Source organism: Homo sapiens, chromosome 17 (genome assembly GCF_000001405.40).
Source record: "Homo sapiens chromosome 17, GRCh38.p14 Primary Assembly".
NCBI lineage: Eukaryota > Metazoa > Chordata > Mammalia > Primates > Hominidae > Homo > Homo sapiens.
In genome coordinates, this window is record NC_000017.11 from 13,851,948 (window position 1) to 13,877,419 (window position 25,472).

General features: G+C 41.1%; 1 long non-coding RNA gene across 3 annotated transcripts in view, besides 1 other annotated feature; it reads right to left on the reverse strand.

Annotated features, from left to right (window-relative positions):
• The window catches only part of LOC100506974 (uncharacterized), a 108,299-nt gene that overhangs the window by 61,621 nt on the left and 21,206 nt on the right, over positions 1-25,472 (reverse strand). The window contains exon 2 of one of the 3 annotated variants that reach the window (XR_001752797.1): positions 13,132-13,319. The exons of the other annotated variants lie outside the window; for them this stretch is intronic. This is a non-coding gene — a long non-coding RNA (uncharacterized LOC100506974). The remainder of the gene's footprint in view (positions 1-13,131; positions 13,320-25,472) is intronic. 3 annotated transcript variants of the gene reach the window in all.
• Positions 22,913-23,430: an enhancer, noted in NCBI's record as "NANOG hESC enhancer chr17:13778177-13778694 (GRCh37/hg19 assembly coordinates)". NCBI's record gives its function as "activates a minimal SCP1, AML or CMV promoter by ChIP-STARR-seq in naive H9 embryonic stem cells {active_cell/tissue: H9 hESC(naive)}" and the evidence as "EXISTENCE:reporter gene assay evidence [ECO:0000049][PMID:30033119]".

A 25,472-nucleotide genomic window follows, 5' to 3' on the forward strand; every position in this document is an offset into this window, starting at 1 on the left:
GGAAATTCCAGAATAAGGTTGATAATATCTTTGAATAAGGATATTTTTCTCTCCTTTATCAGAGGTCAGAAAGCTTTTTCTGTAAAAAGTCAGATTGTAAATATTTTTAGCTTTGAGAACCAGACCATCTGTCACAGCTACTCAATACTGCCATGGTAGCATAAAAGCAGCCACAACCAACAAATAAAAAAATGAACGTAGCTGGATTTGACTGATAAACATGGTTTACTGAACCTTTTTCTACTTTAATGGCAAGGCTTTTAATGTTTTGCCATTACTATGATTTTAGTTACTAATTTATTATTTTAAGAAATTATTCCTCCAATTCTACATTGCAAAATTTTTCTCTTTTTTGATAATTCATTTTTGACTTCAATCAAGATCATTGTTTTAAAAATCTGTTACATAGTAATTAAATTAATAGATGCTAAATTTCTCTAGAATGTTCTACAAATTTTCTAGTATTAAACCACTCTTACATCCCTATATGAGTTTTACTTAGTTTTATTTTTGTTTTTGTTTTGTTTGAGATGGAGTCTCACTCTGCAGCCCAGGCTGGAGTGCAGTGGCACAACCTTGGCTCACTGCAACCTCCGCCTCCCAGGTTCAAGCGATTCTCTTGCTTCAGCCTCCTGAGTAGCTGGGATTGCAGGCACCTGCCACGACACTCAGCTAATTTTTTTGTATTTTTAGTAGGGATGGGGTTTCACCATGTTGGCCAGGCTGGTCACGAACTCCTGACCTCAGGTGATCCACCCGCCTTGGCCTCCCAGAGTGCTGGGATTACAGGTGTGAACCACTGCACCCAGCCAGCCATTTTTATTTATTCCTGGATTTTATTAAACAAACCTTAATTGGATGCTCATGATGTATCAGGCACACTTGTAGAAGTAATGGATGCAGCAGTCAACAAAATAGAAAAAAGTTCCTGCTCTCATGGAGCTGACATTCTAGTGGGAGGACAAAGATAATAATAAATTCACTTAAATATGTCAGGTGAAGGATAAGAAAGCAAAGACAAAGAGTGTCAGGGTAGGGTGCCATTTTAGAAATGAGGTTCAGGAAGGCCTTTCTGATCAGGTGACATTTGAGCAGAAACTTGAAGGAAGTGAGGGCACAGTCTAATAAATTAAATAAGCAACTGGAAGTAGTACACTAAATTGCCAGGATAGAGAATAAGCAGGATGCTAGAGGGGCACATGGCAGGATCGCCTAATGTGGTCACAGACGTGGGGTGAGGAGGGCTTCTGGGAGGAAGCAACGTTTATTCTGAGACCTTGAAGAAAAGTTACACCTGTGTGATGGTTAATTTTATGTGTCAACTTGACCAGGCCATGGGGTGCCCAGACATTTGGTCAAACATTATTCTGGGTGTATCTGTGAAGGTGTTTCTGGATGAGATGAATATTTGCATTCATAGGTTGAGTAAAGCAGGTTGCCCTTTCTTACATGGGTGTGCCTCATCCAATCCACTGACGATCTGAATAGAACAAAAAGACTGAGTAAGAGGGAATTCTTCTTGCCTGACTGCTTGAGCTGGGGTATCAGTCTTTTCCTGTCTTTGAATTTGAACTGAAACTTTGGTTCTCCTGGTTCTCAGGCCTTTGAACTGGTCCTACAACTACAACATCAGCTTTCCTGGGCCTCTACCTTGCCAACTACAGATTTTGGGACTTCTCAGCATCTATGATCGTATGACCTGATTTCTTATAAATCTCTTTATATGTATACACATGCACACACACACACACACACACACACAACCCTATTGGTTCTATTGCTCTAAAGAACCCTGACTAATTCAATGAGCAGGAGAAAAAATAATATTCTATAATAGCATAATTTATAGTCCCCAAATTAGAGGAAAAGAACAGTTTCAAGCAAATGAAAGTTCAATATAGAGGAAGAGAAGAAATGAGGTAAAGAGTGGGGCTGAACAGATGGGAAGAAATCGGGTTGTTCACGATCCTGAAAACCTTCCTGAGCATGCGCTGTGTCCTGTGAGCAGTGGGAAGCCATTGTGTGTTTTAAGTAGCAAAGTTAAGTAACCAGTGGGGCCACCAGGTATCACAGCCCCAGTGGTCACCACCCCATTATATCCACCCATAGAATACATGGGCTAGTGCCCATGGAGTTCAGTCGTATAGAGACATTGAACTGTGTTTTATCATATACTGGGCCACAAGGAAAATTTAGATGGACTTTATAAATAAGAAATTGTTCATGCTACATTCTCTGGATTAAAGCAAAAAGAAATTATAATATAATAAAAGGGTAGTCAAAATATATATATAAAGCCACTGTAGAGTAGGAAAGATACTGTTCTACCCATCATGATCAAGGACCCTATAACAAAAGACAGATTAACAGAGAGAAGCATAAAAAAGATATTTAATATAGATTTAACATGACATAGAAGTCTTCACAAGAAAATGAAGATCCAAAGAAACAGGTACACTTGAGTAGCTTTGTGCTGGTTTTGATGAAGACTTGAGAGTGGAGGGGAAACGTAATAAAGCAGAAAGGGTGTGATCTAATGGTAATAAACTGAGGGAACTTAGCAGGGCCTATTTGTTCAGATTCTTCTCTGTGACCCTGTGTCCTCAGGGATAAGGATGCTCATCCATTCAGAGGTATAGGGAGGGCACCTCTCACATGAGGGTTTTGTGACCTGGTTCAGGGGAAGGTCAGAAAATCCTTCCCGGTTGTATGACCTGCTTCCGGGGAGAATGATGTGGGAAGGTCAGTGAGACCTTCCTGATTCTGCCGTTATTATAAATTCCTTCAGCTTGATATATTCAATAGGCCAAAATGCCCTATTTTGGGGTAGTGTGTCCTGAACACATATAGGAAAATTTTTAAATTCTTCTGTAAAATAAGTCTTGGGCCAATAAGTACATGAAACCTGCAGCTATCAACTTTATGGACATTAAAAACAAATTAAAAACTTGGAGAGAAAATGATCACAGCAATTCAAAGACCAAAAAAATCATAGGCTTGAGGCTTAAATGAGAAAGACTGGCTTAAATGAGAAAAGTCAAGGAGAAAAATGACCCAAAGGATAAAGGGCCTCTGTGTTTGTTGTGCTCTCCACCCATCTTTATGCCTGTTGCCCTCACTTTCTTCAAGTCCCTGCCCAAATTCCACCTGATCAGAGAGGCTTTCCCTTTAGCCCCTTTCTAAGATAGCATCCTTTCCCTCTGCTATCCGTCACTCTCTACCTCTGCTTTATTATCCTTCCCCTGGCACATTCTGTGTGTCTTTGCTATCATCTGAGTCCTCCCCCTGGAATAAAGCTGTGAGCGCAGGGACCTCTGTCTATTTTGTCCCCTGCGGCATCCCCTACTTCTAGAACAGTGCCTGGTACTGGGGCTCCATGTGGCAGGTCTGTGACTGGCCTGTTCAAACTTCATCCCCTACCCAGGCCAGGCATTTGCCAGATGCTTAATAAATACTTTTTGAGTTAATGCTACAATGCATCACTGGACATCTTTTAAAAGTAATATTCTTTTGGAGGTATCAAATCTATCTAAAAATATATAGGGATCGTTCCAAGATGGCCGAATAGGAAGAGCTTCATTCTGCAGCTCCCAGCATGATCGATGCAGAAGACAGGTGATTTCTGCATTTCCAACTGAGGTGCCTGGTTCATCTCACTGGGACTGGTTGGACAGTGGGTAGCCCATGGAGGGTGAGCTGAAGCAGGGTGGGGTGTTGCCTCGCCCAGGAAGTGCAAGGGGTTGGGGGGTTTCCCTTTCCTAGCCAAGGGAAGCCATGACAGACTGTACCTGGAAAATCGGGACACTCCCACCCTAATACTGCATTTTTCCAGTGGTCGTAGCAAATGGCTCACCTGGAGATTATATCCCATGCCTGGCTCAGTGGGTCCCATGCCCACAGATCCTTGCTCACTGCTAGCACAGCAGTCTGAGATCAAACTGCAATGTGGCAGCCTGGGCTGGAGGAGGGGCATCCACCATTGCTGAGGCTTGAGTATGTAAACAAAGCAGCCAGGAAGCTCGAACTGGGTGGAGCCCACTACAGCTCAATGAGGCCTGCCTGCCTACCACTGTAGATTCCACCTCTGGGAGCAGGGCATAGCTGAACAAAAGGCAGCAGAAATTTCTGCAGACTTAAACGTCCCTGTCTGACAGCTCTGAAGAGAGAAGTGGTTCTCCCAGCATGGGGTTTGAGCTCTGAGAACAGACAGACTGCCTCCTCAAGTGGGTCCCTGACCCCCGTGTAGCCTAACTGGGAGACACCTCCCAGTAGGGGCCGACTGACACCTCATACAGCCAGGTGCCCCTCTGAGACGAAGCTTCCAGAGGAAGGATCAGGCAGCAATATTTGCTGTTCTGCAGCCTCCGTGGGTGATACCCAGGCAAACAGGGTCTGGAGTGGACCTCCAGCAAACTCCAACAGACCTGCAGCTGAGGGTCCTGACTATTAGAAAGAAAACTAACAAACAGAAAGGAATAGCATCAACATCAACAAAAAGGACATCCACACCAAAACCCCATCTGTAGGTCACCATCATCAAAGACCAAAGGTAGATAAAACCACAAAGATGAGAAGAAACCTGAGCAGAAAAGCTGAAAATTCTAAAAACCAGAGCACCTCTTCTCCTACAAAGGATCACAGCTCCTCGCCAGCAATGGAACAAAGCTGGATGGAGAGTGACTTTCACAAGTTGACAGAAGTAGGCTTCAGAAGGTCAGTAATAACAAACTTCTCCGAGCTAAAGGAGGATGTTCGAACCCATCGCAAAGAAGCTAAAAACCTTGAAAAAAGATTAGATGAATGGCTAACTAGAATAAACAGTGTAGAGAAGACCTTAAATGACCTGATGGAGCTGAAAACCATGGCACAAGAACTACGTGACGCATGCACAAGCTTCAGTAGCCGATTCGATCAAGTGGAAGAAAGGGTATCAGTGATTGAAGATCCAATGAACGAAATAAAGCAAGAAGAGAAATTTAGAGAAAAAAGAGTAGAAAGAAATGAACTAAGCCTCCAAGAAATATGGGACTATGTGAAAAGACCATCTATGTTTGATTGGTGTACCTGAAAGCGACGGGGAAAATGGAACCAAGTTGGAAAACACTCTTCAGGATATTATCCAGGAGAACTTCCCCAACCTAGCAAGGCAGGCAGACATTCAAATTCAGGAAATACAGAGAACACCACAAAGATACTCCTTGAGAAGATCAACCTCAAGACACATAATTGTCAGATTCACCAAGGTTGAAATGAAGGAAGAAATTTTAAGGGCAGCCAGAAAGAAAGGTCGGGTTACCCACAAAGGGAAGCCCATCAGACTAACAGTGGATCTCTTGGCAGAAACCCTACAAGCCAGAAGAGAGTGGGGGCCAATATTCAACATTCTTAAAGAAAAGAATTTTCAACCCAGAATTTCATATCCAGCTAAACTAAGCTTCATAAGTGAAGGAAAAATAAAATCCTTTACAGACAAGCAAATGCTGAGAGATTTTGTCACCACCAGGCCTGCCTTACAAGAGTTCCTGAAGGAAGCACTGAACATGGAAAGGAACAACTGGTACCAGCCACTGCAAAAACATGCCAAATTGTAAAGACCATCAATGCTAGGAAGAAACTGCATCAACTAACGAGCACAATAACCAGCTGACATCATAATGACAGGATCAAATTCACACATAACAATATCTACCTTAAATGTAAATGAGCTAAATGCCCCAATTAAAAGACACAGACTGGCAAATTGGATAAAGAGTCGAGACACATCAGTGTGCTGTATTCAGGAGACCCATCTCACATGCAGAGACACACATAAGCTCAAAATAAAGGGATGGAGGAAGATCTACCAAGCAAATGGAAAACAAAAAAAAAGCAAGGGTTGCAATCCTAGTCTCTGATAAAACAGACTTTAAACAAACAAATATGAAAAGAGACAAAGAAGGCCATTACATAATGGTAAAGGGATCAATTCAACAAGAAGACCTAACTATCCTAAATATATATGCATCCAATACAAGAGCACCCAGATTCATAAGGCAAGTCCTGAGAGACCTACAAAGAGACTTAGACTCCCACACAATAATAATGGGATACTTTAACACCCCCCTGTCAATATTAGACAGATCAATGAGACAGATGGTTAATAAGGATATCCAGGACTTGAACTCAGCTCTGCACGAAGCAGACCTAATAGACATCTACAGAACTCTCCCCCCCAAATCAACAAAATACACATTTTTCTCAGCACCACATCGCACTTATTCCAAAATTGACCACATAGTTGGAAGTAAAGCACTCCTCAGCAAATGTAAAAGAACAGAAATCACAACAAACTGTCTCTCAGACCACAGTGCAATCAAATTAGAACTCAGGATTAAGAAACTCACTCAAAACCACACAACTACATGGAAACTGAACAACCTGCTCCTGAACGACTACTGGGTAAATAACGAAATGAAGGCAGAAATAAAGATGTTCTTTGAAACCAATGAGAACAAAGACACAACATATCAGAATCTCTGGGACACATTTAAGCAGTGTGTAGAGGGAAATTTATAGCACTAAATGCCCGCAAGAGAAAGCAGGAAAGATCTAACATCAGCACCCTAACATCACAATTAAAAGAACTAGAGAAGCAACAGTAAACAAATTCAAAAGCTAGCAGAAGGCAAGAAATAACTAAGATCAGAGCAGAACTGAAGGAGATAGAGACACAAAAAACCCTTCAAAAAATCAATGCATCTAGGAGCTGGTTTTTTGAAAAGATCAACAAAATAAATAGAATCTAATAGAAACAATAAAAAATGATAAAGGGGATATCACCACTGATCCCACAGAAATACAAACTACCATCAGAGAATACTATAAACACCTCTATGCAAATAAACTAGAAAATCTAGAAGAAATGGATAAATTCCTGGACACATACACCCTCCCAAGACTAAACCAGGAAGAAGTTGAATCCCTGAATAGACCAATAACAGACTCTGAAATTGAGGCAATAATTAATAGCCTACCAACCAAAAAAGCCCAGGACAAGACCAATTCACAGTCAAATTCTACCAGAGGTACAAAGAGGAGCTGACACCATTCCTTCTGAAACTATTCCAATCAATAGAAAAAGAGGGAATCCTCCCTAACTCATTTTATGAGTTATGAGGCCAGCATCATCCTGATACCAAAGCCTGGCAGAGACACAACAAAAAAAGAGAATTTTAGACCAATATCCCTGATGAACATTGGTGCAAATATCCTCAATAAAATACTGGCAAACTGAATCCAGCAGCACCTCAAAAAGCTTATCCACCACGATCAAGTTGGCTACATCCCTGGGATGCAAGCCTGGTTCAACATTCGCAAAACAATAAATGTAATCCATCACGTAAACAAAATCAAAGACAAAAACCACATGATTATCTCAATAGATGCAAAAAAGGCCTTTGACAAAATTCAACAGCCCTTCATGCTAAAAACTCTCAATAAACTATTTTGATGGGATGTATCTCAAAATACTAAGAGCTATTTTTTGACAAACCCACAGCCAATATCATACTGAATGGGCAAAAACTCCTTTGAAAACTGGCACAAGACAGGGACGCCCTCTCTCACCACTCCTATTCAACATAGAGTTGGAAGTTCTGGACAGGGCAATCAGGCGGGAGAAAGAAATAAAGGGCATTCAATTAGGAAAAGAGGAAGTCAAATTGTCCCTGTTTGCAGATGACATGATTGCATATTTAGAAAACCCCATCATATCAGCCCAAAATCTCCTTAAGCTGATAAGCAACTTTGGCAAAGTCTCAGGATACAAAATCAATGTGCAAAAATCACAAGCATTCTTATACACCAATAACAAGGCAAACAGAGAGCCAAATCATGAGTGAACTCCCACTCACAATTGCTTCAAAGAGAATAAAATACCTAGGAATCCAACTTACAAGGGATGTGAAGGACCTCTTCAAGGAGAACAACAAACCACTGCTCAACAAAAAAAAAGAGGACACAAACAAATGGAAGAACATTCCATGCTCATGGATAGGAAGAGTCTATATCATAAAAATGGCCATACTGCCCAAGGTAATTTATAGATTCAATGCCATCCCCATCAAGCTGCCAATGGCTTTCTTCATAGAATTGGAAAAAACTACTTTAAAGTTCATATGGAACCAAAAAAGAGCCCACATTGCCAAGACAATCCCAAGCCAAAAGAACAAAGCTGGAGGCATCATGCTACCTGACGTCAAACTATACTACAAGGCTACAGTAACCAAAACAGCATGGTACTGGTACCAAAACAGAGATCTAGACCAATGGAACAGAACAGAGGCCTCAGAAATAACACCACACATCTACAACTATCTGATCTTTGACAAACCTGACAAAAGCAAGAAATGGGGAAAGGATTCCCTATTTAATAAATGGTGCTGGGAAAACTGGCTAGCTATATGTAGAAAGCTGAAACTGCATCCCTTCCTTACACCTTATACAAAAATTAATTCAAGATGGATTAAAGACTTAAATGTTAGACCTAAAACCATAAAAAACATAGAAGAAAACCTAGGCAATACCATTCAGGACATAGGCATGGGCATGGACTTCATGACTAAAACACCAAAAGCAATGGCAACAAAAGCCAAAACAGACAAATGTGATCTAATTAAACTAAAGAGATTCTGCACAGCAAAAGAAACTACCATCAGAGTGAACAGGCTACCTACAGAATGGGAGAAAATTTTTGCAATCTACCCATCTGACAAAGGGCTGATATCCAGAATCTACAAAGAACTTAAACAAATTTACAAGAAAAAATCAAACAACCCCATCAAAGAGTGGGCAAAGGATATGAACAGACACTTCTCAAAAGAAGACATTTATTGCAGCCAACAGACATGTGAAAAAATGCTCATCATCACTGGTCACCAGAGAAATGCAAATCAAAACCACAAGGAGATACCATCTCACACCAGTTAGAAGGGTGATCATTAAAAACTCAGGAAACAACAGGTGCTGGAGAGGATGTGGAGAAATAGGAACACTTTTACACTGTTGGTGGGACTGTAAACTAGTTCAACCATTGTGGTAGACAGTGTGGCGATTCCTCAAGGATCTAGAACCAGAAATACCATTTGACCCAGAGATCCCATTACTGGGTATACACCCAAAGGATTATAAATCATGCTACTATAAAGACACATGCACACGTATGTTTATTGCAGCACTATTCACAATAGCAAAGACTTGGAACCAATCCAAATGTCCATCAATGATAGACTGGATTAAAAAAATGTGGCACATATACATCATGGAATACTATGCAGCCATAAAAAAGGATGAGTTCATGTCCTTTGTAGGGACATGGATGAAGCTGGAAACTGTCATTCTGAGCAAACCATCACAAGGACAGAAAACCAAACACCGTATGTTCTCACTCATAGGTGGGAACTGAACAATGAGAACACTTGGACACAGGAAAGGGAACATCGCACACACCGGGGCCTGTTGTGGAGTGGGAGGAGTGGGAAGGGATAGCATTAGGAGAAATACCTAATGTAAATGATAAGTTAATGGGTGCAGCACACCAATATGGCACATGTATACATATGTAACAAACCTGCATGTTGTTCACATGTACCCTAGAACTTAAAGTATAAAAAAAAAAAATGGAAAGACCGTTCTTAGTCAAGGGCCATACAAAATCAGGCTACAGGCCAGATTTGGCCCATAGGGCTTAGTTTGCTGACCCCTGGTTTATACCACTTATATTTAATGTGATTGCTTTGTTAGGTTTAAAAATATATCATCTTGTTATTTTTTAAAAAATAAAAAAATAATAAATTATAAAAATATATAACTACTAATTCAAATGTAATAATTAACTATTCTATTCTTTTGCATATAGCAGCCTTTTTTGGTCTGATTGACTAAATTCTGAAAGTCACATGTTGTTAAGGTTATAACATCAAGGTTGTATCAACGGCTTCTCGTCTTTTAAGTAGCTAAGCTTTATACTTCTCAATATTATATATTTTTGCTACATAAAGTTTTAGAACTCCTGTCCAGACTTAATTTTTCTTGTTTTGAATTTTTCATTAATAACAAATAAACTTTTGTTTCCATTTAATGCTTTTAGTCTTAAATTTCATTTTGTGTGATATTTGTATTAAACTCTGGGTTTATTTTTGTCGCATTTTTCCGAGATATCATTTCCCATCTCATTGTTTTTAGTTGTTCTGTGCCATTTTGTTTTTTGTCTTTCCTGTAAACAGTATGTAGTTGAAATTTGCCTTGTTACCCAATCTGAGAATTCTGTCTTCTAATCAGAAGTTTAATCTATGTGTATTCTCAGTGTGATAACCAGTAAATCTGGGCACATGTTCGCCACAGTATTATGTGCTTTCTATTTTATGAGTGTCCGTCTTAGTCTTCTTAGGCTGCTATAACAGAAATATCATAGACTGGGTGCCTTCAACAACATTTATTTATTATCTCCATTCTGGAAGCTGGAAGTACAAGCCCAGGGAGCCAGCATGGTTGGGTTCTTGGGGAGGGTCCTCTTGCTGGCTTATGGACAGCAGCCTTCTTGCTGTTTCTCACATGGCAGAAAGAGGAAGTGCTGGTGTCTCTTCCTCTTCTCATAAGGACTCATGAGAAGGCCTCACCCTTGTGGCTTCATGTAAGCCTAATTATCTCTCAAAGGTCCCACCTCCAAATAACATCACAATGGGTGTTTAGGGCTTCAACATATGAATTTGAGGGGTTGCGCACAAGCATTTAACCCGTAACAGCATCTTCATACTTTGGCCATCTTTCTAGATCTAGTTGTTTCTTCTACCTGGTCTTTCCACATTCCACCTACCTGCCTTACAGAGAAAGAGCCTTGTAGCTGAGAGAATGTCTCAGAAAGAAAAATAGGTCCACCCTAGCTGTTTTCTCCTGTTGACTTGTCCCTGCACCTCCCAGCACTGATGCTCCTGGGAGCTATGGATCCTGGCATTTAAAGGGATCCATGGAGCCAACATCCAACTCTTCATGGCCTCCAATCCCTGCCACACACCCTCACACCCACATAAACAGTTTAGGGGCTTATTCCAAGCTCCCATTTACACAGACTTCCCATAATACTCAACAGTGTGATGAGCCAAATAAGGTAGGCTCTGAAAAGTTGAATCTGTGTGGCCAGTCCTAATTCTGCACTGGTAGCTTGAAATTGGCCAAGGCAGGTGCATTTACACCACTTAGTGTAAGTGCCCCAAATTCGGGCTTTAGTTTTCCAGAAAGCCAGTTTACCAGCTCACCTCTGCCAATACCCACATTTTCTAATGGAGGAGAGGAGAGGAAAGGGGAGGGGAGGAATTTTCTAAATAAGAGAAATTATGACGTTATCTTTTGCCACTTCTTCTGTGCTGTCTCAAAACTTCTTCCGACTTTGTAACATGTTGATGGAACCTTTTCTTCATTTTCAGTGCAGATGCTGTGTTTTCCTAATCTTCATGACCCTTTGGTAATTTAACTTGGTGTCTGAATGCGGGGTAGGGACGTATCTTTGAAATCATGTTGTCATATATTTCAGAAGTCCTTGTGACATGTCTTCATTCCATTATCTATGCAAATCATGGGCAGAATTACACAGATCCCTGTTTGCTGCTTTAATTATCCCTTCTCAGCCAAATAGCACTTGCTCTGCCACTAATGATTCTAATCTGAACTGGGAATTGATGTTGACAAAACACAAGCTGTTTAGTTTTTGCAAAGGCTTATCAAATCTCCTACTGAAAACAGAAGTTTTACTGGATATCCAGAATCGAAGCCCCATTTATTGGAAAATATTCCAGCTGATAAGCAAGAGAGCCAATAAGAAATATCCCTGGGAAGGCAGGAGGGAATTCACAAGATCATAAAAATATAACCACAGTTACATCACTGAGATAAGAGCTAATCTAAGTTATAAGGTTGTCCCTTGTGAAAACATGACAAAATAATAATTAAGTGTACATGCCTTGCGAATGTTCTCCACTGTTAAAATAGCGCCTCTATTTAGGGCAGCTTGTAAAGGGAACTGGGTATGTTTAGAGCTTAGAAAAGCATACAGTTGGAATATGAAAAAAAGAGAGAGATTATGGCAATTTTGTAAATCAAGAAGAATTTGTAGTGGGAGATAGGGAGCCACTGAAGGTTTTTAAGCAGGAAAACAATGCAATAAAAGATGTAATTAAGGAAGATTAGTCTGGCAGTATTAGGGCAAGATCTATCTTAAGTTCCTTATAAAAAACAAAAATAGAATTAGTAATGAGTTAACCCCCCAACCCCACCACCAAAAAAACAAAAAAAAGAGAGAGAGAGGAAAAGCATCAAATCTCTTCTACTTTTCGTAGGCAGTTAAGGTAGCACATAGACTGGGAAGTACTCAAAGAGTCTTGCAAAACTTTCTCAGCTTATTAAGTTAAATTACTTCTTTGCTCTCATTTGGTATTCATGAATGTTAAAACAAGTTCCGTAACAGTGCACTCAAAGTCTCCAGGCAGTCCAGGGACCTCTTGAAGACTTCTTTTCATGCTGTTCCATTGTTGCAGCCAATGAGCACTGTCAGCCAACAGCCCACATGCCATCTGATCCTCCCATTGTCCTGTTTTCAGAAACAGTTTAAATCTCATCCACTCTTATGAAAATGAAGGAATAGGGGCCCATGTCTTCTAATTCTCATTCAAGAGTCACTAGACTGCAGTAAAAATCCAACCAATGATACCACAATGACTCAGGGCTCTTGTAGGCTTAGCACATGAAGGAAATGGACGGTGCCAATTGTGACAGAGTTCATCCAAGGAACAGATACGACCTAAAAGACACCAGCCAAACTGCTATTTCTCAAAAGGACAATGTTCCTGCCTTGAGTGCCTGTCCCACTTTGTCTGCATTGTCTGCCTCCTACCCAAGACCCAGCGAAAGTTTCCCCTTGTTGGTGAATTCTCAGATTCTCCAGCTCATAGCAATCCTTGACCTTCTGAACTATCATGGATTTTGACTAGACCACAAAATTGCATTGAGCTTATATATTTCCTAAATGGTTATTTCTTTTCATGTGTAAATTCTCTCTCCAACTACAATAAAAACTCCTTAAAAAGAGAAACCATGTCTTACATGTCATATGTCATCCAAGTTCAGTGGCATAGGAAGAAGATGGAGATATTGAGGCTGAACTCTGTCTCCAAAATCCTGTGTTCCAAATTATGCTCACCATGGTGAAGATGTTTGCAAGTCTCCCAAGCCTCAAACCCTACCATTTATTTTTCAGTCTTAGTAGATGTCCTTGCTTTCCTTTGTTTTTCCTAAAAAAATAGAGTTCACACAAATTAAGTTCCCACAATTCCCTTCCACTCCACTTCATGATTTTTATTTTCCTCCTCTGCTTTTTTCAGAAGAAGGCTTGTTTCTTCTTGGCAAAACTGGTTGCTTCCTTTTGGAATTTGATTCAACAGTTACTCTACTTTTTAGCCCAGTATCTTCAATCCATCCTGCTTCTGCTATAAACATCACAAGTTTCCCTACTTTTTTCTTTGTTAGCATTTTTACTGTTTTCCTTAGAAAAGCTTTCCCCAAAGCCAATTTTTAAAAATAGTATGTACTCACTCACTACTTCCTCTCTTCTATTATCTATGAACTCCTTGACTTTTCTCAATTTGAGTTTTGATAAAAGAACTTCAAGAGGGTTCTGATGAAAGAACTCAAGAATGAGAAAAGTCAAGGAGTTCATAGATAATAGAATTAACTCCTGATTAATTGAAGCTGTTCCCTTGGAATGTCCAGTTCAAGCTCAGAACTGGAATCCTGTGTTTAACTCCCCTGAACATGGAAATTAATCACCCAGATCCGCCACCAAAGAGGACTTCCTGTGCATACATGGGGCATGTGGTCCACCAGCCTCTCCCAGCTGTCAGCTCTTTCAGAACCTGCTGCAGCTGGGCCGCCTGTCTAAGATCACAGCTTTCTCAGGCAGCCCACATCTAAGGTGGCCAGATGAAGCACAAAACACCCAGTTCAATTTGGCTTCCAGATAAACAATGGATAGTTTAATTTTTTATGATAAGTACACCACAGGCAATATTTGAGACATACTCCTATTTTTAAAATATTCATTGTTTATTTGAAAAGTTGAACTGGGCATTCTGTATTTTAACTTGCTATATCTGGCAACTCTACCCATCCAATGACTCAGTGAGGTAAGAGCAGAAGGGCCAGGACCTTCGGACCCAAAGAGGGTCAGCTGTGTTGGGCAACACTGGCTCCAGACCTCCATGAAGGGTTGGCAAAGCTTTGTCCCACCAGCATTGCATTTGCCTTTTTCTTCTCCACAATCCTGCTTCCTTCTCTTCCTTAGGAGGGGGATAAACCACTAAAGCATCTCTAAACCATACTCTGTCTTAGCATCTTTGCTCAGGGAACTCATCCTGAGACATCTCTCCTGAGACAGGGAACTCATCCTGAGACATCTCCTTTTAAATGTCCACAGAAAGATAAAATGAGGTATAATATAATTTGAACTCCAGAAATCAAGGGAGGGGAACCAGCAGGAGGTAATAATCAGGCATTCCTCTAATCTATGCATGTGAAGGAAAAAGCATTCTGGGTAACAAATGAACAGTATTCCCAGAAGACCAAAATATGCTAAGTAGAAAACAACTGGAATAATTAGTAATCAAAGAAAAGCAAATAAATATCATTGAACGATCATTTTTTTACCCAAAAAGTTGGTAAAAATAAAGAAGGAATATATCCAGTATTGTTGAGTATATGATAAAGTAACCAATTGTATGTTTTGCTAGTAAAAGTATGAAGTGGTAGAAGCTTTCTAGAAGGCAAAGATTATATCATGTACATATCCTTGAATCTAGGGAATTTATGCCTAGATATTTAACCTAAGGAAATAATCAAACATATGTACAACCACATATGAACAAAACTTTAAAATCTCAAAAAATTAAAAACTACCAATAAGGAATGGGTCAAATAAATTATAGCAGTTCTATTACAACCAGAATAACTTGAAGTCATTTTAAATTACCATTTGTGTATATTCATTGACATGGAAAAATTTTATGATATATTGTTATATGAAAAACTGATTTCATATTTATATATATGATGTCCCATTTTTGTTTACAAAAACACAGATTTATATTTTTTGAAAAATAATTATAAATTTTAAGTGCTTATATTTGAATGGTGGTATTATAAGTGTTTTTTTGTAATTTGTAATTTTTTCTATGATAAATAATACTATTTGTATGCTTTAACAAATACTTTGCTCTACACTATATGCACCAAAGCCTTCAGATTTTTTCGCCTTGACGTCACCTTTTTATTTTTTCTTTTTTACCTTTCTGTAACATTTTATATATTAAATACTTAACTCTCTAGAATCCTTTTCCACCTTCTTAAACTCTCTTCCTTAGTTCTTTTTCCTTTTCCCTTTATGTTGATATTTCCCAATATTGTGTCATCAGATCTTTTCTCTGTTTTCTATCTGCATGACTTACATTATTGTCTATATGCAGATAACTCAAACATCTGAGTCTCAGCAACACTGACGTCCCTCAAGAGCATGTGAAACCCTAGTTCCAAATGCCCACTGACTTCTAGATTCAAACATTTATACTGCACCTGCTATGTTCGGGAAATAGAGTCTAGAGAAGAGGCTGCAAAGACAAGGAGAGCCCACAAATCTCCACCAAGAAACACTGGATCTGCCAATTTCAAAATATTTCACCTTTTCCCAAGTCAATTCTTCTTCCTGATCTTTCTTTTTCTGCTACCAGCACAACTATCATTTTAGTTGCCCGGCCATGCCTATAGCAGTAATTAATTAATTAGCTCACTTAGCAAGTGAGGGATCTGATAAAATAGTGGTACTCAGACTCAGCTATGTATGAGAATCACACAGGAAGCTTCAAAAAATACTGACGCTTATTTCCCACCCCAGAGATTCTGATTTAATTGGTCTGGTATCCCAACTGGGCAGTAAGAGTTTTATCCCCTCCCCAGGTGGTTTCTAATTTCAGCAAGAATTAAAAGTCACTGTGCTAGACACAGAAAGAGCAGCATATAATGACTGATTGTGTGATGGGAGGAAAACAGTCAAAACTTTTTTAAAAAATACACTTACTTCTTAGTGATATCATCTGAGTTAAATATATATTCCCTGGATGGCAGAAGCTCAATCAGCTTTCCTAGTGCACTTGTCTCTTTATTCAACTCAACTCCAGCCTTTATAATATTTCCAGAATGCATGGAGAGAATATAGCCATACTGTCATTTAGGCATTCCCATGCTCTGACCCACGCAGTCTTTGCTGTTATTGTTCCACACACACATCAGTTAAACAGGACTACCCATTGCTCCCTAGACATTGTCTCCAATCTAACTCTGCCTTTGCCCTTACTATTCCTCCCACCTTAACCATCCTTCACTCCCACCTCAATCAATCACAACTCCACCAATCCATTAGCTCTAACGATTGATGGTGAACCAACCTTGATAGCATGCCCCTCTGTATGCCCAGGAGTAATTCCTCACTCTCCTTAACTCCAAAGCACCCCTTATTATACTTAACAAACTCTGTCTATGGAAAAGTTATGAGTACCCTCATCATATACTTCCAATCAGATTTTAAGCTACCTGAAGGCCAAAGGTAAGATCTCTTATTTCTACGTACAGGAATGAAGGAGGGAAAGCTGAGGGCTCCAGAGTCATCCTGCCTGAGTTTATACCCAAACTCTGCCAATCATACACAGAGTGTGTGATGTTTAGGCAAGCAACTTACCTTCTGAACCTGTTTCCTCCTCCTTTGAATGAAGATAACAATAGGACACACAAGATTGTTATGAAGGTAAAATAAATAAATAAATATATATATTTATATATAATTTATATATATTATATATCTATATAATTATTTATATATATTTATATAATTTATATATATTATATATTTATATAATTATTTGTATATATTTATATAATTTATATATATTATATATTTATATAATTATTTATATATATTTATATAATTTATATATATTATATATTATATAATATATATATGTATATATAAAGCGCTTAGCACAATAATTGCTCCAAATGGCATTGATGATGATGGGAATCAGTGTTTGGGAGTCTAAACTATATCAAGAAAGATATTTGGTTGTGAAGGTGACAGCATCTCTGTGTAGTAAACAGAAGGCAAATAAAGCTCTTGGATTTGGAAAATGTTTATTATATTTTCTAACATTACTCCCTAGGACAACTCAAGTTATTATTGCAGTTTCAATTATTCCAGACAGTTAGTCCTGCTTCCTGATAGTATGTAAATTTCCCAGCTTGGTGCCATCTCTAAGGTTCTAAATTTCATTTTGCACTAACAGCTTTTCCGAAAACTCTGCCACTCGGAGACCCCTGTGTCCTAAATGCTGTTTCTTTGTGGAGTACAATGTTTTTAATTGGGTGAAACAGTGATGGAGAGCGTGTCAGATTTCCATGCAGGATACACTCATTTGTGAAGCATGCAATCCCGCTGTTAAGACTGCAGTGAACCAAGAGAGCAACAAGCTATTTCTACCTAGTGGGCTGATAGCATTACAGCCTCTGGATCTGAAATGAGATCTATTTTAAATTTAATTCATTTTCTGAGGGATACGTAACAAGAGCCTCTTCTGTATGCACCTGAACCAAAAGACCATAAGCCATACTGACAGCGAGGCAGGGGAATGTGAGGACGCAGAGGCAGCTTCCTCAGGGACTCCCTGTTGCCAGGCTGCCATCTCTCCCAGCAAAAACAATCTTGCTGTTTTTTATGCCCACTTGAAGTACCAGAGACATAACAAAGAGTGCATCAGTGTGTCGAAGCTGCAAACAAACGGATCATCTGCTCTTAGAGTGGCTCTGTAAATTCTTTTCTCTCCTTTATCAACTTTCCTCTCTGTGGTGGAACCTTCCTATCAGCACTGAAACATGTTCAAGTCCCTCTTATCTTTAAAAGTAAAAATAAAACATAAAAAATCTACCCTTGGTCCCACTCCCTCCTCCAGGGACTGCTCCACTTCCTCATCCCCTTCAAAAGGCTTGAACCTGCTCTCTACATTCACCGTGTGCCTTCCTCATGCCTCATGCATATTTCAAACCACCTCAACACAGATGGCTTCCAAATCTTCATCCTCTGACCTCATGAGAACCATGCTGAGGTCACTAATGACTTCCAGGTAGCTAAATCCATTCCTCAGCTTATGTGGCACAATTAACCAGGAGCTTCTTCTTTTCAGGAGCGCTTGATCACATCCAATTACCAACGACCCCTCACTTGATGTCCTCAGCCCACCCAGACCTCCCCTCTGAGTAGCCCATATCCAAATGCTGACTCCATCTCTTCTACCTGCATTCTCAAAATCTCTGCAAAACATCTTCCAAACTAGCTGTCACCTCCACTGCTTAAGTGATCACACCAGATACCCAAGAGACATCCTTGACCCTTCCCTTGCTGTGGTCCACGCTAACCATTGCAGGGCCCAGAATAAGAATATGTGTGGCGCTCATATGCATACGTGTAGCTTTTATGTTTGTGTAAAGAATCAGTGTCACACTTCATTCATGTTGGGTCTAAACCAGAGTCGCATGAGTTGTAAAGTGTAGCAAAATATCCCTCAGCTGCCATGCAAAATCACTCCAGAGACCACACTAACTTAGGAGTATCCCAGCGCTAAGCAAAACAATGAAGGGGGATACTGAACACATTGAGAAATTGCACTTCGTTTCACTCATGTAATAGACTAGATAAAGATTTTGACAAGTCCATTAATTCATCTTTTCTTTTATGGAGGCATTTGCTCTGCTCAGATCCTTCCTGCACTGGAGAGCAGTGTTAGCAACAGCACAAGCCAAAGTCTCCACAACATTTAGATACTTTCGTATAGAGGAGCCAGGTTGAAGAGATGGAGAGAAGCGTCTCCCTGGAACCTGGGCAGTCTTAGTCTTGAAAGTGGATGTCTAAGGTTATGGGTAAGTAACTTGCCTGGGCTGAGAGACACCCATTTGTTTATTTTTCTTTTTTCTTTTTTTTTTTTTTTTGAGACGGAGTCTCGCTCTGTCGCCCAGGCTGGAGTGCAGTGGCTCGATCTCGGCTCACTGCAAGCTCTGCCTCCCAGGTTCACGCCATTCTCCTGCCTCAGCCTCCCCTAGTAGCTGGGACTACAGGCGCCCGCCACTAATCTTTTGTATTTTTAGTAGAGACGGGGTTTCACCATGTTAGCCAGGATGGTCTCGATCTCCTGACCTCCTGATCCACCTGCCTCGTCCTTCCAACGCATTTGTTTATTAATACCTTTATTTTTTGTGAGTGTTTGTGAAGTGAGTAGTCCTCTACAACAGGAATTGGCAAAATTTTTTGTACATATTTTAGGCTTTCCAGGCCAGAAAGGCCACTGTAGCAAAGAAGTAGCCACAGAATGAATGACTGCAGCTGTGTTTCAATAAAACTTTATTTAAAGAAAAAATCAGGACAGGGGCCAGCTTTGGCCCATGGGCTGGAGTTTGCCAATCCCTGGTATAACATATAAGGCGCAGAGTCGGATCTCTTTTGCCCCAAACTAAGGATAGTATTGCCTTCATTCTCTGCTTCTAATAAATTATCCTGTTCTACTTTACACCTTAAATATGTTTCAAATCCATGCACTTCTGAACATTTCACCATCACCACCCTGATCAACACTGCTTTTATTTCCCACGTGGGCTGCATTTCGGAATAGCCTCTCAATAGGCTTCTCATTTCATTTTCACTCACCCACTCTCCTACCTCACCTCTGCAGCTAAGGTGATTTTTCTAAAATGCAAATATGACCACGTTGCTTCTCAACTAAACACTTTTTCGTACTGTCTCTGAAAATCAAAGCCACAGTTTCAACAAAATCTATCAGCCCCTCAGCAGCCTCAACAAAGGCCTCCCTTCTTCTGGCCCCCTACCCTCAAGCCGCAGCGACTTGGTTCACATCTTCAGATGCTCAAGTTACCTTCCTTGCCGCATGCTGCCTCCTCACCTTGAAAAACTGTTGCTCCTCTTTATCTGGGAAATTCTTATCCTTTGCCTGGGGCTCCTCTAAGAAGGGAATTTCTTGGCCTCCCACATCAAGCCTGGCATCATCATTTTTTTTTCAACTACTTACCCCAGTTTAAAAAAAAAAAAAAGAATTGCTTAAGTCATCAATCGCTGAATAAAGTACAGGCTCAATGAGGACAGAGCAATACCCTGTTTAGTCCATTGCCAGGTGCACCCAAATCAAGAACATCTTATTATATGAGGAGGAGTTAAAGAAATGAGAAATGGAGATGGGGGTAGTAGAAGGAGAAGGAGCAGGCACCAAACAGGGAGGAGAGAAGACAGGGCGAGTCATGCCTTCAAACACATCAAAGTGTTCCAGGTAAAAGTGGCCACAGGCATAGTCTACATGGCTTCAGACAGAGATCAGCATAGTACCCACAGCTGGAAGTTAATGTGAAGGTTTAAGCCTGGAACTTTTAAGAAATATCTAGGCCGGGCGTGGTGGCTCACGCCTGTAATCCTAGCACTTTGTGAGGCCAACGCAGGCGAATCACGAAGTCAGGAGATCAATACTATCCTGGCTAACACGGTGAAACCCCATCTCTATTAAAAATACAACAAAATTAGTCTGGCATGGTGGCACGCATGTGTAGTACCAGCTACTCGGGAGGCTGACACAGGAGCATCGCTTGAACCTGGGAGGCGGAGGTTGCTGTGTGCTGAGATCACGCCACTGCACTCCAGCCCAGGTGACTGAGCAAGACTCTGTCTCAAAAATAAATAAATATCTAATGATTAAAACTGTCCAGCAGCGGAACAAGCTGGCCTTATCGTGACAGCCTCCCTAGGACTGTGCTGTGAGAGGAAAATTGTACCTGTAGGACCAGAAAAAGACTTCTCCCTCCTCTGTCTCTGACGGCTTTTGCAGGAGCAGGCTGGCAGTTCTGCTCAATTCTTTTGTTTGTTGCTGTAACTGTTATTGTTATGGAATGTCCACCTAAAAACTAAAATAGGACACATACAACTCCAGTCCTTGCAGTCGATTCTTCACCCTGTAAAATTACATACTTTGTTGTGGGTCAGATTGCGTCTCTCAAAAAAAAAAAAAGATATGTTGATGTCCTAACCCCCAGTATCTCAGAATGTCATGTTATAGGGGGACAGGGCCTCTATAGAAGTTATCAAATTAAAATAAGTTAATTGGGCCTGCAATCCCAGCACTTTGGGAGGCTGAGGCAGGCGGATCACCTGAGGTCGGGAGTTCAAGACAAGCCCGGCCAACATAGTGAAAACCCGTTTCTACTAAAAATACAAAAATTAGCCGGGCATGGTGGCAGGCGCCTGTAATCCCAGCTACCAGGAGGCTGAGGCAAGGGAATCGCTTGAACCTGGGACACAGAGGTTGCAGTGAGCTGAGATCATGTCATTGCACTCCAGCCTGGGTGACAGAGTGAGACTCTGCCAAAAAATAAAAATAACAAAACTAAAATGAGGTCATTGGGATGGGGTGAGTCCTAATCCAATATGATTGGTGTTCTTATAAAACGGGGAAATTTGGGTGCAGACGCACAGGGAGACACACACAGAGGGAAGATGAGGGGAAGACGCAGACAGAACACCATCTAAAGCCAAGGCACCCCTCAGGCTACCAGAAGCCAGAAGAGAGACCAGGGACAGATTCTTCCTCACAGCCCTCCAGAGGCACCGAGTATGCTGTTACGGACCAAATTGTGTGCCCTCAAAATTTCTATGTTGAAGCTCCAGTCCCCAGTATCTCAGAATATGACTGTATTTGTAGATAGAGCCTTAGAAAAAGGTAATTAAGTTAAAGTAAAATCACTATGGCGAACCAGTCTGACTGGTGTCCTTATCGGAAGAAGAGATGAGGACACCTGAGTGACACCAGGGATGCCCATACAGAGAGAAGGCCGTGTGAGGACAGTGAGAAGACAGCCATCTGCAAGCCACAGAGACAGGCCTCAGGAGAAACCAACCATGCTGACACCTTAATCTCGAACTTTTAGCCTCCAGAACTGTGAGATAATGCATTTCTGTTGCCTATGCCCCCCAGCCTGTGGTATTTTATTATGGCAGGCCCGGGAAACTCATACATTTTCCCACAGCACTACTTTGGTACATGTTGCTTTAAAATTGTATTAAACGTGCATTTTCCCATGAACAATATATAATATTGCTTTGGACATTTCTTGACTTTGTATGGATGGCATTGCATCATGTGTATCCTTCTCAGCTTGCTCTTTTGCTTAACGTTATTTTTATGAGATTCATCCATGTGCATTCATGCTGCTGTCACTGGTGCTTTTTCATTGCTATATAGTATTCCATTTTACGAGTGTGCTACAGTGTATTTACCCATGCCATGATGATGGGCTTTTAGACTGTTTAGAGTTATTCACTATCACAGACAATGCTCCAATAAGTATTTTCTCAGTCCCAGTATGTAAGTGGGAAATGGAAGTAAAGGTGAAACTCAGTTCTCCTTCCAGCATGATCACCATATAAGCTCTTAAAAAAAAAATTCAGCCAATCAAACAACACTGACAGATAACCCTGTTCCAGGCAGCCACTGACATGGAAATTAATGCAGGACAGAAGATGCAGTTTCTACTAGGGAGAGTAATCTTTACCTACAACAAATATTTACTGAAAGATCATTCTGGGGAAATGACTTAAACAAGGCATTGAGAATATAAAGATGAATAGGACGAAGCTCTTGCTTTCATGGGCTTCACAATCTCATTGGATGGTTCCACAGACAACAAAAAGGGTGAACACTAGGGAGCAGCTTACACTAGGAACCAGATGAGTAGTGTGGGGGAGCAGTGCTCTGGGAAATTGGGAAAACTCACTTTGGGCTGAGGACAAGGTCTTCATACCGGACTTGAAGATGACTAGACTCAGAGAAACACAGAGAAAAAGGGAACTACCCCATGTGGGAGTTGCTCTCAGTAGCAGAGATTGGAAAAGCATGTGGTCAGCTTAGCAGACAGTAGTTGACAAAGGTGTTTGTCAAGGAGTTGTAGGAGAGAGATTTAGAGGTTGAATGGGGCAAGATATGGATGCCTGGGGAGACTGTGCCTGATCCTCTAAGTAAAAGGGAACTTTGTGGATTGTGCTTAATCCTCTAAGTAAAAGGGAACTTTGAGGATTACCTATGAAATGTTGAATGCCCACTCCTAAGAGTGTGTGAAGAGAGGGCAACCACTGTGTTCAGGAGATGATACAGAGCCCATTTCTACAACAGGATGAAGTTGAGCTACCTCACCTCTAAGACCCTATCCTCTGCATCTAGCTCCCATTTGTAGAATGAATGTATTATGACGAATGAACAAAAGGCAACCCAGTAGATGGTGTTTAAATACGAAGGCTCCAGACTTGGGCTCAACCCTCATCCTCACCATGAGTGTCCTTTCTGAGCCTCTGTTCCCCCTTCTGTACAACAGCGAGGATAAATGTATAGACACCTGGGACCACACAGGCAGAGTCCCTGGTGCAGTGCTAGCCTGATGAACGTTCAGCAACACGATGGCCCTTGTGAGGTTGAAGCACCACTTTAGTAAGGCAGATCAGATAGGACCTTTGATAATAACACCTACCACAACCCATTTTATGATGCTTTTATTTCAAAGTGTTTCCATCTCAACCATCTTATTTATTTCAACGCACAATACCTTGCATTAGGAACGCCTTGAGAACTTTTAGCATCATCAAAATAGATACATGGTATGGGATAGAATAGGGCATGATCCAAATTCTTCATGAATTTAGGAATCCATTTTGGATTCCCTTGTTTTTGGAGGTTCTTCAGAGGCAGCAAGGTAGCTCATTAGCCAAACTGTCAAGTGCACTTAATTTTTTTTTTTTTTTTTGAGATACAGTCTCACTCTGTCACCCAGGCTGGAGTGCTGTGGCACAATCTCAGCTCACTGCAACCTCCACCTCCCTGATTCAAGCAATTCTCCTGCCTCAGCCTCCTGAGTAGCTGGGATTACAGGTGCACACCACCACCACGCCCAGCTAATTTTTGTATTATTAGTAGAGACAGGGTTTCACCATGTTGGTCAGGCTGGTCTCAAACTCCCGGCCTCGTGATCCACCCACCTCATGATCCACCCGCCTCGGCCTCCCAAAGTGCTGGGATTACAGGCATGAGCTACCAAGCCCGGCCGCACTTAATTTGTCATCCTGAAACAGGAGAAAAATCTCCAGGAGGTCTTACTTCCTAGTCCCAGCTCTGCTCATCACTGGACAAACTGCTTTTCCACATCTGGAAGGAATGGGAGAAAAACTATCCCTCAAAACTCACTAGAATCTGTTCTAATAAGGAAGACTGTCTTACTCATCTTTGTATGTTCAGAGGCTAGTTTGGGGCCTAACCAGGCATTTGTCTGGGACATGGTATGGCCCAGACTCAAGAGCACAGGCTTTGGAATCAGGTAGCCTTGAGCTCACACCAGGGAATAGTAGGCCACTGCCAGCAATGAGCCTGTGAGCAAATGACCTAACCACTGGTCCCCTCACTCTTCTCATCTGTAAACTGGGCCAATAAATTTGCAAGGCCAGTGAGGATTGGTGCTCAGGGGTGCAACAAACCCAGCACAGAGAAGCCACACTGCTGATTTTCAAGCCTATGGCTTAGAGAAGATTTTCCCCAAATAGATTTTTCTGAGCACCATCTCAGATTCGCCTCTGCTGTTTTAAGCATAAAATGCAGATTCAGAGCTCTGTGCAAACCTACTGAATCAAAGCAGAGATTAGCTTTCCCATTCTGTATTTTTAGGAAGCTCTCCAGGAAATTTGGGTATGCACTCAAGTTTAAGTGTAAGGCCTGATTTAGGTTCTATTGGATGGATAAACCGCTCCTCCCAGTAAATTATTACACCTGGCTTTTACTCTCAGGCATCAGGAAATTGGGATGAGAAGCTCCTGCTTAGAGGAGATGGCAACAGCCCTGTCAGGGGCTTCAAACACAGTTAACACTGTAGGAAAGACAGACTTGGGAAGCTTCCATGGAGACCTCGAAGATCCCCTGACACCAGGCAGGCAGCATGAAGCACAGAGATGCCTTTGCCTCCCAGCACACCACAGATTGGCAGTGAGCTTCACTTGAACAAGGCCATGCACCTTGGTAATGTTCTCCTCATTTCCACAGACCTCAGCCAGCCAAAGTTCCCGTGCTAAGCACAGAGACACCTCTCCTCCCTTTATCTTAACGGGGCCAAGTTCTTCAGGCAGAGCCAATGATGCAAAAAAGCCAAACACAGAAACACTTAAAGGCATAAAGCAAACACCATTTTTAGCAGAGGTTTCCTAAAATGACAAGATTGTTTGCAACATTTTTTGATGACAGCGATGATGATGACAAATAATCCACCGT